The 13,002-nt window shown below is 50.3% G+C and overlaps 2 protein-coding genes across 3 annotated transcripts in view, besides 4 other annotated features; one reads left to right on the top strand and one right to left on the bottom strand.

Annotated features, from left to right (window-relative positions):
- ITFG2 (integrin alpha FG-GAP repeat containing 2) overlaps nucleotides 1–13,002 on the bottom strand; it is a 47,124-nt gene that overhangs the window by 21,700 nt on the left and 12,422 nt on the right. Inside the window, exons 13-14 of one of the 2 annotated variants that reach the window (NR_147202.2) lie at nucleotides 7,207–7,258; nucleotides 1,136–1,347 (exon numbers count right to left, since the gene is read on the bottom strand). The gene's annotated coding sequence lies outside the window, so the exon portion shown is untranslated. Of the gene's footprint in view, nucleotides 1–1,135; nucleotides 1,348–5,875; nucleotides 6,309–7,206; nucleotides 7,876–13,002 lie in introns of those variants that run through there. The other variant, NR_130744.3, reaches the window with a different exon arrangement.
- Nucleotides 2,287–2,830: an enhancer, noted in NCBI's record as "H3K4me1 hESC enhancer chr12:2944428-2944971 (GRCh37/hg19 assembly coordinates)". NCBI's record gives its function as "activates a minimal SCP1, AML or CMV promoter by ChIP-STARR-seq in primed H9 embryonic stem cells {active_cell/tissue: H9 hESC(primed)}" and the evidence as "EXISTENCE:reporter gene assay evidence [ECO:0000049][PMID:30033119]".
- Nucleotides 2,831–3,375: an enhancer, noted in NCBI's record as "H3K4me1 hESC enhancer chr12:2943883-2944427 (GRCh37/hg19 assembly coordinates)". NCBI's record gives its function as "activates a minimal SCP1, AML or CMV promoter by ChIP-STARR-seq in primed H9 embryonic stem cells {active_cell/tissue: H9 hESC(primed)}" and the evidence as "EXISTENCE:reporter gene assay evidence [ECO:0000049][PMID:30033119]".
- On the top strand, nucleotides 3,057–12,744 carry NRIP2 (nuclear receptor interacting protein 2). Its single transcript, NM_031474.3, has 6 exons — nucleotides 3,057–3,450; nucleotides 7,232–7,384; nucleotides 9,678–9,760; nucleotides 10,045–10,166; nucleotides 10,415–10,467; nucleotides 10,793–12,744. The coding sequence occupies exons 1-6, from the start codon at nucleotides 3,109–3,111 to the stop codon at nucleotides 10,883–10,885; spliced, it is 846 nt and encodes a 281-aa protein (NP_113662.1). The 5' UTR covers nucleotides 3,057–3,108; the 3' UTR covers nucleotides 10,886–12,744.
- Nucleotides 3,376–3,920: an enhancer, noted in NCBI's record as "H3K4me1 hESC enhancer chr12:2943338-2943882 (GRCh37/hg19 assembly coordinates)". NCBI's record gives its function as "activates a minimal SCP1, AML or CMV promoter by ChIP-STARR-seq in primed H9 embryonic stem cells {active_cell/tissue: H9 hESC(primed)}" and the evidence as "EXISTENCE:reporter gene assay evidence [ECO:0000049][PMID:30033119]".
- Nucleotides 12,675–12,969: a silencer, noted in NCBI's record as "tiled region #8339; HepG2 Repressive non-DNase unmatched - State 15:Elon". NCBI's record gives its function as "represses a minimal TATA promoter and a strong SV40 promoter by Sharpr-MPRA in HepG2 cells {active_cell/tissue: HepG2}" and the evidence as "EXISTENCE:reporter gene assay evidence [ECO:0000049][PMID:27701403]".

The raw sequence follows: 13,002 nt of genomic DNA, 5'->3' as shown, positions 1-13,002 counted from the left end.
ATGTCAAGACATGGGAGGGAGCTAGAAAGTTCCACTAAAGCTAAGTCTAAATGAAGCTCGGCTCTGGGTGGGGCAAATCTTGAGAAATGGCATCCTATTGCAGTTTGGTTTTCTTTCCGTGTTTATCATCTCTATCAGTATTCTCCTTTAGGCACAGCGTAAATTGAACAGACCTTGGGAGAGAGAACACAAGGACTGGACCACCTGCTCTGCTATATCATAACTGAATCTTGGGCATATTTTCTAAGAATTTTTTTCTTTTAGAGACAGTGTCTCGCTCTGTCACCCAGGTTGGAGTTCAGTGGTGCCATCATAGCTCACTGCAGCCTCGAATTTCTGGACTCAAGTGATCCTCCCACCTCAGCCTCCTGAGTAGTTGAGACTATAGGTACATGCCACCACACCTGGCTAATTTTTAATTTTGTTTTGTTTTTGTTTTTTGGGTTTTTTTTTTGAGACGGAGTTTCACTCTTGTTGCCCAGGCTGGAGTGCAATGGCACAATCTTGTCTCACTGCAACCTCCTCCTCCCGGCTTCAAGCAATTCTCCTGCCTCAGCCTCCCAAGTAGTTGGGATTACAGGCGTGTGCCACCATGCCCAGCTAATTTTTTTTTTGAGACGGAGTCTCTCTCTGTCGCCTAGGCTGGAGTGCAGTGGCGTGATCTCGGCTCACTGCAAGCTCCACCTCCCGGGTTCACGCCATTCTCCTGCCTCAGCCTCCTGAGTAGCTGGGACTACAGGCGCCTGCCACCGCGCCCGGCTAATTTTTTTGTATTTTTAGTAGAGACGGGGTTTCACTGTGTTAGCCAGGATGGTCTCGGTCTCCTGACCTCGTGATCCGCCTGCCTCGGCCTCCCAAAGTGCTGGGATTACAGGCGTGAGCCACCGCGCCCGGCCATGCCCAGCTAATTTTTTGCATTTTTAGTGGAGACAGCGTTTCACCATGTTGGCCAGGCTGGTCTCGAACTCCTGATCTCAGGTGATCCACCCGCCTCAGCCTCCCAAAGTGCTGGGATTACAGACGTGAACCACTGTGCTGGGTCCTAAGACTTAATGTACTAGTTTCCTGGGGATGCCATAACAAAGTATGTATCACAAGCTTGAGTGGCTAAAACAATAGAAATTTGTCATCTTACAGTTCTGGAAGCTGAAAGTACAACAGGAAGGTGTTGGCAGGGTTGGTTCCTTCTGACAGCTGTAAGGCAGGGTCTGTTCCACGCCTCTCCCCTGGCTTCTGGTGGTTTGCTGGTCCTCTTAGGTGTTCCTTGGCTTGCAGATGCATTATCCCGACCTCAGCCTTCACGTGGCGTTCTCCCCATGTGCGTTTCTCTCTGCGTCCCACTTCCTCCTTTTAATAAGAGCGCAGTCATATGGGAGTAGGCTCATCCTAATGACCTCATCTTAACTTCACCATATCTGTAAAGGCCCTATCTCCAAATGAGGTCGCCTTCTGAGGTACTAGGGGTTAGGGGTACATTTGGGGGGTGAAGGAAACAATTCAACCCATAACACTTTCTTTCCCTCTAAATGGGGATTAGAATACAGTATTTCTTCATATAATTGCAGTGGTTGTGAAAGTGTCTCAAAGAGGCTTGGTTCCTAGAAGCTCAGCAGACATCTGGTTTGTCTGAAAGTACATGTGCCTTGGAGCTGTCTGAGTCAGACTGCACCCTTAGGGAGCAGGGCTCAGGTGGGGTAATCACCCTGTGAGCATCCAACACAGGTAAACAGGTGCTTGGCCAATGCGTTTCCCTGATGGTGAAGAGGAAAGGCTGGAGAGAAAAATCTGCTGATAAGCCAGGGCTAGAAAAAGTCTGATACCAAGTCCTGGAGAGGATGTGGAACCTCAGGAGCCCCTGTGTGCAGCTGTCTCAGTGTGCACTGGTAAAAACACTCTGGCAATATGCCAAAAAGGCAAAGCTGTATATGGGATGCCCCAGCAATTCCACTCCTAGGTGTAGGTGTATACTCTAGAGAAATGCCTACATAGGTGCCCCAGGAGATGTGTGCAAAAATATTCATAGCAGCATTGTTTGTTAGACCTAAAAATGAAAAATAACCTACATTTCCTCAATGTCATGCATGCATCTAATGGAATACTATGTTACACAGCAGGTGAAGTCAATTAACTAGAGCTGGGCATACCGTATGGATGAATCTCACTAACAAAAACTATTCAGCAAAAAAGAGCAGATTGCAGAAGAATAAATACAGTGAGTAGGACAAAACCAACGACATATTGCTTAGAATGCATATGTAAGTATTTGCATAAAGAATATAAAGAAGTCTGGGCCTGATAAACACCAATTTCAGCAGGCGGAAGTGGAAGTGCACAGGGAGCTTCAACAGCTTATTTTTTAAACTGGTGATGAGTGAAGAGTACTGGTTATCTTATTCTTTATAACTTCTGTATATTTGAAATGCAACATTTTTTAAAGAGCCAGGACTTGAGGAGAGTCATATAAAGGAGACTGAGATGCCAGGGACAATTTCTACTCGTGGGAAGATTCAGAGTTGTTCCTGTCATTCCCTGGAACCCAGAATCCAGAGTCAATTAGTTAAAGACTCTGACATCTGCTAGGCGGGAGGCAAGAGACCTAACAAGGTAAGGCTAGGGGGATGAGAGGAGGGAAGGACGCTCTCATGCTGCCCCTCTTTGATCTGAACCCAGTTACTGGCCTGCGCGCCAGCCCTGGGCTGCAGATAATGCCAGGAGAAAACAGCTGGGCAGTCCTGGGAAGCCTGGGAGGGATGCAGAGGAGGGCGGGGGCCACACACGCTGGGAGGTGCACTAAGGCTGCTGCCCCCACACAGTGACAAGCGCTTCCTCGCAAACCACCTGGCACGGGCACCCTGACAGTTTACAGCACTGTCTCTCACTCTCCTTCTCTCTCTCTCTCTCACACACACACACACACACACACACACACACATACGCCCCATCCACCGCCCGCTCTGACCAGGACCCCAGCGTTGGGGATGCGGCCAAGTCAGCCAGCTGTGGGCCCTGCCAACCCTCCCTCTCTTCTAGGACTGGGTTTTTCCAGCCGGAGTCTCACTCCCTCTACAGCAATCTCGGGAAATTGGAGACTGACGCGGCTGCTCCTGCATGTTATTTATTTTTCCTCTTTCCCTCCCGTGGAGACCCTCCTGTTGGAAAGAGAGCTGCAGCACGGGACAGAGACAGGCAGGAAGAAGCAGAGAGGACTCGGTGACGCCCCCACCGAGCAGCCCCTGGCCCACTCCTCCAGCAGGGGCCATGAGCACCAAGCAGGAGGCCAGGAGAGATGAGGGAGAAGCCAGGACGAGGGGGCAGGAGGCACAGCTTCGAGACCGAGCCCACCTGAGCCAGCAGCGCCGGCTCAAACAGGCCACCCAGTTCCTGCACAAGGACTCGGCCGACCTGCTCCCGCTGGACAGCCTCAAGAGGCTCGGCACCTCCAAGGACTTGGTGAGGCATCACCCCTCCCCTGCCAGCGTCCCCTGGCCTTTTCCTTCCACTTCCCAGATCCTGAGCAGGAGGCAGGACCAGAAAGTGCAGACCCTCAGCTTTCAGGTCCCGCTCCCTTGCTGAGATGGGGAGAGGTCATCCTGCCAACTCAAGGCTCTTCACCGGGGATGTTCCCATGGTTTGGTGGCTCTGAGGGTTCCTATTCTCTCATTGCTTGGCTTCCCTTTTTCCTCTAATGGCCCCAAACTTGAGGGTGGTGAGGAGCTAGGCTGTTTAGAAGTGGGGGCTTACAGGAACACAGGAACCCTCTAGAGTGGTCACTTACAACCAGGAGGGCCTGGAGGACTGGCCAGTTTAGGGTTGTGACTTCCTGCTTCCCCCGAACCACAGGTTCCCCAGACCAGGTCTGTCTATCCACTTGTCCTTTCTCCTCAGAATCAAAACATCGGGGGTCTCCATCCTTCCCAGGGCATCAGGGTTTTGTGTGGCTCTTGCCGGGGGCCCCTGGCCGCCTTGAGTGCTGCTCCCCCAACTCCTGAGTGGAATGGACCTTCCAGGCTCCTCTCCTCCCATCCCATGTCTGCAGCAGCTTTGGCCTCAGAGGAATGGGGCAGGGGAGTAACAGTGAGGATGTGAGTGGGCGGCGGAAAACTGCAGATTCAGGCATTCCCCTCTGAGAGGCAATGCTGACAAGCGGGGCTGCGCAGCCACTTCGCTTGGGATCAGATCCTGGCTCTGCCATTTACTAACTTGTGCAATTGACTTTACGTCTCTGTGCCTCAGTTTCTTCATCTGTTAAATGAGAATCAAATCAATCATAGGATTGTTGGGAGAGTTGTTAGAGCTAATATATTTAAAGCACTTAGAACAGTGCCTAATAGCAGGCACTATCTAAATGCTATTATTATTATTCCCCCAGCTATTACTCCATTTAGTCTGAGAAATATTCCTGGCCTCTGACCCGTGGAAGAGAGGAAATCCTTTGTAGAAAGGCTTGGGAGCACTCGGTTCCCTGTCCCCTCTCCTAGTCTGAGAAGAGGTACTCAACCAGGCCTGTACTGACAGGTTGGAAGCATGTCTGCAGGCCTGTGCTCCACCAACTGCTTCTCCCCGGGAACCTGAAGGCCAGTGCAGCACCTCGCCTTTCCCTACTTAGCTCCACCTTTCCAGACTCCTCTCAGCCTGGGTTGCCCCCACCAGGACCACAGCCCAGAGGTCTGGCAATTCCCTAGCTCCCAACGAGAAAAGGGATTGCACTGAGACTTAATTCAGGGAACTGCCAGGGGCTTATTCCTACTTGCAGTGGCAGCAAGCATAGCTGAAAAACAGGGATGGAGCAGGGAAGCGGGTTCTTCGGCTCTCAATGGCTGGAACCTACTGGGGACCATCCTACATGTGTTTGGCCCCAGGAGAAGGTGCTCTACTGACATTGCCATCCCGGAGTGGCAGGTCCCGCCTTCTAATGAGAAAGTCCCGGGCTTTTCACCTCTCCCCTCTGCCTAGGATATCCCCAATTGATCCCTAGCAGTTACCTCCTATGGCTCTGGGAGCAAAGGCACAACAGGCAGGGAAGACCCCATCGTCTCCCTCCCTGGGATGGCTGAGGAGCAAACTGCACAACAGCGGGAGGGGCCTGAAGCCTGTGTTCATCGTGGGAAGGTGGAAGATGGGAAGTGCAGAGCCAGTCTCTCCAGCCAATCCCAGAGCTCGCTGAACTTTTCCCAGCACTGGGTCTACTGCTGGCAGCCTTGCTGCCAGGAGCAACCCCAAGGGCCTCATTAATCTAAGGGTAGAAAAACAATCCCAGGATCCCAAGGAGAGAGGGCAGGTGGAGAGGTGCATAGAGCCTGGGGGAAGAGTCAGTCTGCAGCAAGCATTTATTGAGTGCCTACTAGATGCTGAGCCATGCCCTGGGATATAAAAATGAGTGAGGTAGACTCAAGCGCTCTCCAGGCTAATGGGGGAGTAAAATCCATACATAACATTTGTGAGAAGCATGGAAAAGGGAGCTAAGACAAGGGACCCCAGCTTGGCGTGTATGGAGAGAGGAGCATGAAGAACTCAGAGAGGGTATCCTGGAGAGGGTACATCCTGCATTATAGGATGTACACAGAATCTCAAACTTAAGATACAACCTCTCTCTCAAATAAAGTGTGTTAAGCCAGTCATCCAGTCTAGCCTCGAGAAGAGTGAGGAAGAGGAGTTTCAGGAAGAGAGGAGAGAGGAGAGAGGAGTGAAGACATGGAGGCAAAAAGCGGCCTGGTATGAGCGGTGCTTCTGGGGCCCATAAACAGAGTGGCAGGGAAGGAGGCACGGCCCGGTCATGTGGACTGTGGATCACCTTCAAAAGCTTGAGCTCTATCATGAAAGCAATGCGGGGTAGGGTGGGGGGTCTTTGATGCATTTTAAATAAGAGAAGACATGGTTAGTTTCATGTTTTACTTTGGTGCTTCTCAAACTTTAACCTGCACATGAATCACCTGGGGATCTTGTCACAATGAAACATCTGATTCGGTAGGTATGAGAGTGCATTTTTAAGAGGCTTCGAAATGATGTTAAAGTTGCTGATCTGAGGACCACATTTTGGAGTAGCAAGGTTTTTAGCTTCCAGGCTGAAGCTCCAAGCAGATGTATTTGAAAGGTAACAGGTCTGGAGACAGGTTATGAACTTAAGAAGGTGTTCCAAGGATCCGAGAGAGCTGTGGGGAGTCTGGAACACAGGCAGTAACAGAAAGGAAGGATGGAGGCCAGGTACTGTGGCATATGCTTTTGGTCCCAGCTGCTCAGGAGGCTGAGGCTAGAGAATGCCTTGAGCCAAGGAATTAGAGTCCAGTCTGGGCAGCATAGCAAGATCCCATCTTGAAAGAAAAGAAAAAGAAAGAAAAGAAAGAAGAGAGAGAAGGAAAGGAGGGACAGATTGATTCTACACAGGAGGCAAAACTTATAGAATTTGGGAAGTGACTGGATGGAATGGGAGTGGTTGTAGATGAGGGACAGGTCAAAGATGACTCCCAGCATCCTAGTTCTTAAGAGTTTTTTTTGTTTGGTTTTTTTTTTTGAGACAGAGTCTTGCTCTGTCAACCAGACTGGAGTGCAGTGGTGTGATCTTGGCTCATTGCAACCTCTGCCTTCTAGGTTCAGGTGACTATCACACTTCAGCCTCCCGAGTAGCTGGGACTACAGGCACATGCCAATACATCTAGCTAATTTTTGTATTTTTAGTAGAAATAGGGTTTCACCATGTTGGCCAGGCTGGTCTCGAACTCCTGACCTCAAGTGATCCACCCACCTCGGCCTCCCAAAGTGCTGGGAGTACAGATGTGAGCCACCACGCCTGGCCTAGTTCTTGAGTTTCTTACTGTTTTTCATCATACCATCAACCCTGGGATCTGAAGCCCATTGAAGGATGAGGTCAGAGGGGAAGAAAAAAAAAACCCTCCTAGTTAAAAAAAAATGTAAGTTTGAGACAAAACTTCCCCCAAGCATACTAATTCCTGAAATGTCCCTTCGGCTACTAAGTCAGTTTAACAGAGAATGGACCATTCTCCTCTTCCCATTTCTTCACTGCTGAGCAATCTATGGGTGTCCAAGGAAAACGGCATGATTTGATACTGGGGCTTACTCTGCTCTCATTATCTGGGACCCTAGGGTAAACTCCTAGGGTAAGGCTCAGGGCTGGGGGGGTGGGGGGAGCATCCTGGGGTATCTAAGTGGGGTAACTGAGCAGCCTGGATGCCTGGGTTTAGAACTGCCTACCTTCATTGTTTTGTGATGGAGCCAGCAGCCGCGCAGTGTGATCCAAAGACGCCTGGTGGAGGGAAACCCGAATTGGCTTCAGGGGGAGCCTCCCCGGATGCAGGACCTGATTCATGGCCAGGAGAGCAGGAGGAAGACCAGCAGGACAGAGATTCCAGCTCTTCTGGTCAACTGCAAGGTGAGAGGCCTCCCAGGGACACACTTTCATTAACAACCCTGCCTGCACTCACTTCACCTGCTCTCCTTTCTGCTCTGCCCTGATGGGAGAGGGAGGGAGGGAGAAAGGGCACCTCTCTCCCTAGCCTGGACCTAACCAGGATCCTCTACCTCCTTCCTCCCTGCCCCAAGCCATGTCTCCTCGGTGCAACTCCATCTGTCACCACCATTACTCTGCCCCCCTTCCTTGGTCAAAATACAATACTTAAATTAAGTAAGTACTCCTCAGTGTGCTCTACACAGACAAATGGTGTGTGTGCATGGATAACGTAATTCTGGAAAAAACTCATGTGTTCTAAGGCATTGGCCCTGTAATCTCTGGAACCACTTAACCACTCAGTCACTATTGAACATTCGCAATAAATTCCCACTGGTCCTCGGCCACCGTCTTTGCTCTGTGCTTCTTCTATGTGGATTGCTCTTCTTGCTCTCCAATCATTCTGGGTCCGCATTCTGCAAGCAAAAGCCCAGCTCAGATGTTACCTCCTCCTTGAAACCTTTTCTGATTTCCCCAGTAGGAAACAGCCTTTCCTCCCTCCCAACCTCTAAGGCATGTTACTCACGTCCTTTTTTTAAAAAAAAAAATTTTTTTTGAGACAGAGTCTCGCTCTGTCACCCAGGCTGGAGTGCAGTGGCATGATCTTGTGTCACTGCAGCCTCTGCCTCCTGGGTTCAAGCGATTCTCCTGCCTCAGCCTCCTAAGTAGCTGGGACTATAGGCCCACACTACCACACTTGGCTAATTTTGTATTTTTAGTAGAGATGGGGTTTCTCCAGGTTGGTCAGGCTGGTCTCAAACTCCTGACCTCAGGTGATCCATCCACCTCGGCCTCCCAAAGTGCTGGGATTACAGGCGTGAGCCACCGCACCCCTCGACTTTTCCGGTCCTTTTGTTTATTTTTTAGAGACAGATTCTTACTCTGTCACCCAGGCTGGAGTGTAGTGGCATGATCAGAGCTCATTGCAGCCTCAACCTCCTGGACTCAAGCGATCCTCCCACCTCAGTCTTCTGAGTAGCTAAAATTACAAGTGTGCGCCACCACAGCTGGCTAATTCTTTTTTTGTATTTTTAGACTACCACGTTGGTCAGGCTGGTCCTGAACTCCTGGCCTCAAGCGATCCTTCCACCTTGGCCTCCCAAAGTGCTTGGATTATAGATAGGTGTGAGCCACAGGGCCAGGGCATTCACATCCTTTTATAGACCATAAAACTTTCTGCCATATAGTAGAGTTATATTATACTTCCTTTAGACTCCTGAAGAATAGCATTCATTGATATACCTTCCGGTAACATATCTTATAGTAAATACTCAATGAATGTTTGGAATGAGAAAACGATGTGTGTGTATATCCAAGCGTATATCAAAATGTCTATGTCCCAAAGTAGGTGAAGTTGTCTTCCTTTGTTTCCAATAGCGAACTTCTTGGTTACTCATATCTGAGTTTCCTAACAGGGATTCCAGTCTTCTCATCCTTCCTCTATTCCTAACCTGGAGTTTTCGAACCAGGAGGCCATCAAACTCCCAAGGATTCCTCTAAACAAACAAATCACCGTTTCTCCATTTCTGGCAGATCTTCCCCAAACTTATGAACCCATCACATATAACCACTTTTTTTTTTTCCATTTTATTTTTTGTAGAGACAGAGTCTTGCTATGTTGCCTAGGCTGGTCTTGAACTCCTGGCTTCAAGTGATCCTCTTGCCTCCAAAGTGCTAGAACTACAAGCATGAGCCACCGCACCTGGTCCACTTCCTTTTTTGATTTATTTATCTGGGAGTTCTGCCCCTATTGTATGAGTCTCATAAAAACCAGTTTTTTTGTTTGTTTTGAGACAGAGTTTTGCTCTTGTTGCCCAGGCTGGAGTGTAATGGCGTGATCTTGGCTCACCACAACCTCCGCCTCTCGGGTTCAAGCGATTCTCCTGCCTCAGCCTCCCGAGTAGCTGGGATTACAGGCATGCGCCACCACACCCAGCTAATTTTGTATTTTTAGTAGAGACAGGGTTTCTACTAAACCCTGGTCAGGCTGGTCTTGAACTCCCGACCTCAGGTGATCCACCCGCCTCGGCCTTCCAAAGTGCTGGGATTACAGGCGTGAGCTACCGCGCCTGGCCCCGATAAAAGCCAGTTTTAAAGACAGTTCATTTTCTCCACTCATTTCTAGGAGGGAATCATCAATGGGCTGGGAAACTGAAGGATCCAATTCCAACCCATTCTCCTAGGGACTCACTGATTCACCACGATTCTTCTTTCTTAGTGCCAGGACCAGCTGCTTAGAGTGGCCGTTGACACAGGCACCCAATACAATCGGATCTCTGCTGGATGTCTCAGCCGCCTGGGGTAAGAATGTGGCCCAAACAAGCAAGTGGGGGACAGGGTTTCTTTTTGGGGTGATGAAAATATTCTCAAATTAGATAGTGACGACAGTTGCATATTTTATCTCAATAAAGCTGTTATTTAACAAAAGAGTGGCTAGAAGACTCTGGCAGAGAAGGCAAGGATTTAGACCCCACGTGAGGTCAGGGGTTGGAGATGAAACCATAGTAGAGAGGGACACCTGCTGATTAATGGGGTGGAACCCTCTAGGGGCTGTGGTAGCCATAACCCTTGCTTCCCAACCACAGGTTAGAGAAAAGGGTCCTAAAAGCCTCAGCTGGGGACCTGGCCCCTGGGCCCCCAACCCAGGTGGAGCAGTTGGAGCTACAGCTGGGGCAGGAGACTGTGGTGTGCTCGGCACAGGTGGTGGGTAAGTCCCCCCTTCTGCAACAGCCCTGGTGCTCACCTCACCTTTCTCTTTGGGGTGGGGCAAAGGCTGAGACTTTCACTCCCTGCAGCACGAGGAGTTCCCAGAGATGTTCTGACTATCCCCCATCTCTGTGCCAGTGTCCTCGGATCTGGGGATGGGGTGGGCAGAGAAGGAGCAACGGCTAAGAGGAGGGCAGCAGTGACCACTGGGAACCCTCAGCCTCTTCTGTTTTCAAATTGTTCCTATAGATGCTGAGAGTCCTGAATTCTGCCTGGGCCTGCAGACTCTGCTTTCTCTCAAGGTAAGGCACCCACTCAGGGCCTGACCCAAAGCACTGGGAAAAAGTAGTAGAAGGCACAGGTGTGGAACCTGGACCAGGTTCTGATGAGAGTGACTTAGAGATGGGCAACTGTCCCTTTGCTTCCTTAGAGGTTCCTTACTTACCACCAAGTGAAAAATCAAGAGAACTGGGTCACCCCCTTCAACAGGAGTCTAGGGAAATGGGGATGGGGGAAGAGCAAAAGGCAGGTGGAAGCTGTGGGAAGTGGGAGGGGGAACAAAAGGAGCAGGCCGGGAGGCAGGTGGCGGGCTGAGGTGACCTGGCATGACTGCTCTACACCCCGCAGTGCTGCATCGACCTGGAGCACGGAGTGCTGCGGCTGAAAGCCCCGTTCTCAGAGCTACCCTTCCTGCCTTTGTACCAAGAGCCTGGCCAGTGACTGCTGTCTCAGTCAGTCCCCAGAGGGAAAGACCTTGCCTTAGAAGAAGAGGCGTGTGGGGAACGGGGGCTCTTGAAGCCAGGTAGCTGGGGACTATGGTGTCTGCCCTTCCAATCACCTCCCTGACCCCTGCTGTCCCATTTTCCCCAGCTGGCCGCATTCCTCTCTGCTTCTCAGCAGCTGTCCTACTCCCCAGGACGAGTTTTCACTAGAGGGCCCACGATGCCAGGATTCTGATTCATCTTCCTCCCAAGAAAAGCAAAGCCAAATCAAGACCACAGATAGGAACCTAAGCACAATGGGGTGCCTGCTTGGGCTGGGTCGAAGGCTCTGCTGACTGCTGTCCTTGTCCATCACCCAATACCACCCCAAACACAACTCAACTTCCCACACCACCATGTCTCTCACCACACCTTCTGGGCCTCATTATCTCCCACAACTAGACCGCCATGCCTCACCAACCTATGTCCCTGGACCTCCTGGTGTCTGCCTCTCGGAGTCTGTGCACATCTGCTCACAGTTGAGTGGGGGAAGAAACAGCCAGAATTCAATACAACAAAGAGCGGGAGTTAGTATAGGAATGTCCATCTCATAAGGCTGAGAGCTATTTTTTCCTGTGGCTGCAAATGTCTGAAGCCAGTTAGTTTGATTACCCTGTGCAAAACCTTGGACATACTTCTGCTATTAACGCTATAGGTATTTATCCGTTTCCACTGGCTTTTTGTACCCACCGAGCCCCTGAGCCTTGCGTGTGTGTGTGTGGAAGAGCCTTGTAGAGAACTGCTCCTGTGAGGCAGACAGGACAGTGAGGTTGTCACCACTCAGACTTCACCTATTCAGCATTCTTTCTGATTTCTAGAACTATCCACCTCATTAGGCCTTCTTCCTATCCCCATCTCTGGCCTCTTGAGCTTAAGCTTGTATTGTCCTGGAATCAGTGGCTTTCTAACCCCCTGCCAGGCTTTGCCAAAGCAAAAAGACAGAGGCTTTTTTTTTTTTTTTAAAGTTTGGGGTCTGTCAGGAGACAGAGGCTTTTTTGAATTCACTGTGAAGAGAAGAACCCGAACCTTAAGACGCCAGATCCCTGAGAGTCTTTCTGGCTGGTTTGAGTCTCTCAAATCATGGATTAGGAGTAAAGAAAGAGGCCAGGCGCAATGGCTCATGCCTGTAATCCCAGCACTTTGGGAGGCTGAGGTGGGTGGATCACTTGAGGTCAGGAGTTTGAGACCAGCCTGGGTAATATGGCAAAACCCCATCTCTACTAAAAAATACAAAAATTAGCCAGGTATGGTGGTGAACACCTGTAATCCCAGCTACTTGGAAGGCTGAGGCATAGGAGTTGCTTGAACCTGGGAGATGGGGGTTGTAGTGAGCCAAGTTCGTGCCATCGGACTCCAGCCTGGGTGAAGGAGTGAGACCCTGTCTCCAAAAACAAACAAAAAAGGAGCAGAGAAAGACAGTGGTACAGCTAACCTGAACAAGGGAACTGGGACCGTTGGGCTGAAACAGTCTTGAGCCTGGGGTTGACTGGGTTAGAGAAGAACCGGGATGCAAGGAGCTGCCTGTGACACCTGGCCTGCCCTTTCTCAGCTGCCTCCCCTGCCCTTTCTCAGCTGCCTCCCCTGCCCTCAGAAGGAAAGGAGAGGGCTCACTTATCACTTGTGCCATAGCACCTGGTCTCAAAATCCTAAAAGCTTTCCTCGCCCTCACTGCCTTGCTCCACAAGGTCCACTTTCCTGGGTCTTGTGCTGTGCCTTTCCTTGTCTGCCTCCTGCTGCTTCTGTAACTGCAGACCCCAGGCCCAATGGCAAGCCCTCGGCTCAGCTGCTTCTCCATTGGAATAAACTCTTGTTTCTCTATGTCGATGTTCTTCTCTGGTCTTCCTCCCTGCCTATCAAGAGCTGAGTGATAATTGCCCATTGTCCCTTACAGAAAGGAAATGTAAATGTGGGCCCTTGCCCAGGCTGACCCATCTGACTAGGGTCAGTATAATTGAGAGGAATTTGAAAGCAATGGCTTTCAAACTCCTCGACCACAGCTTACCACAGCAGGAATACATTTTACATGGCACTCAGTACACACATGCACATATGACTAACAAAACAATACTTACCTAC

Source organism: Homo sapiens, chromosome 12 (genome assembly GCF_000001405.40).
Source record: "Homo sapiens chromosome 12, GRCh38.p14 Primary Assembly".
In the NCBI taxonomy this organism is placed as follows: domain Eukaryota; kingdom Metazoa; phylum Chordata; class Mammalia; order Primates; family Hominidae; genus Homo; species Homo sapiens.
The sequence above is the reverse complement of the archived record's forward strand: the minus strand, read 5'-3'. Positions and strand labels throughout refer to the sequence as shown.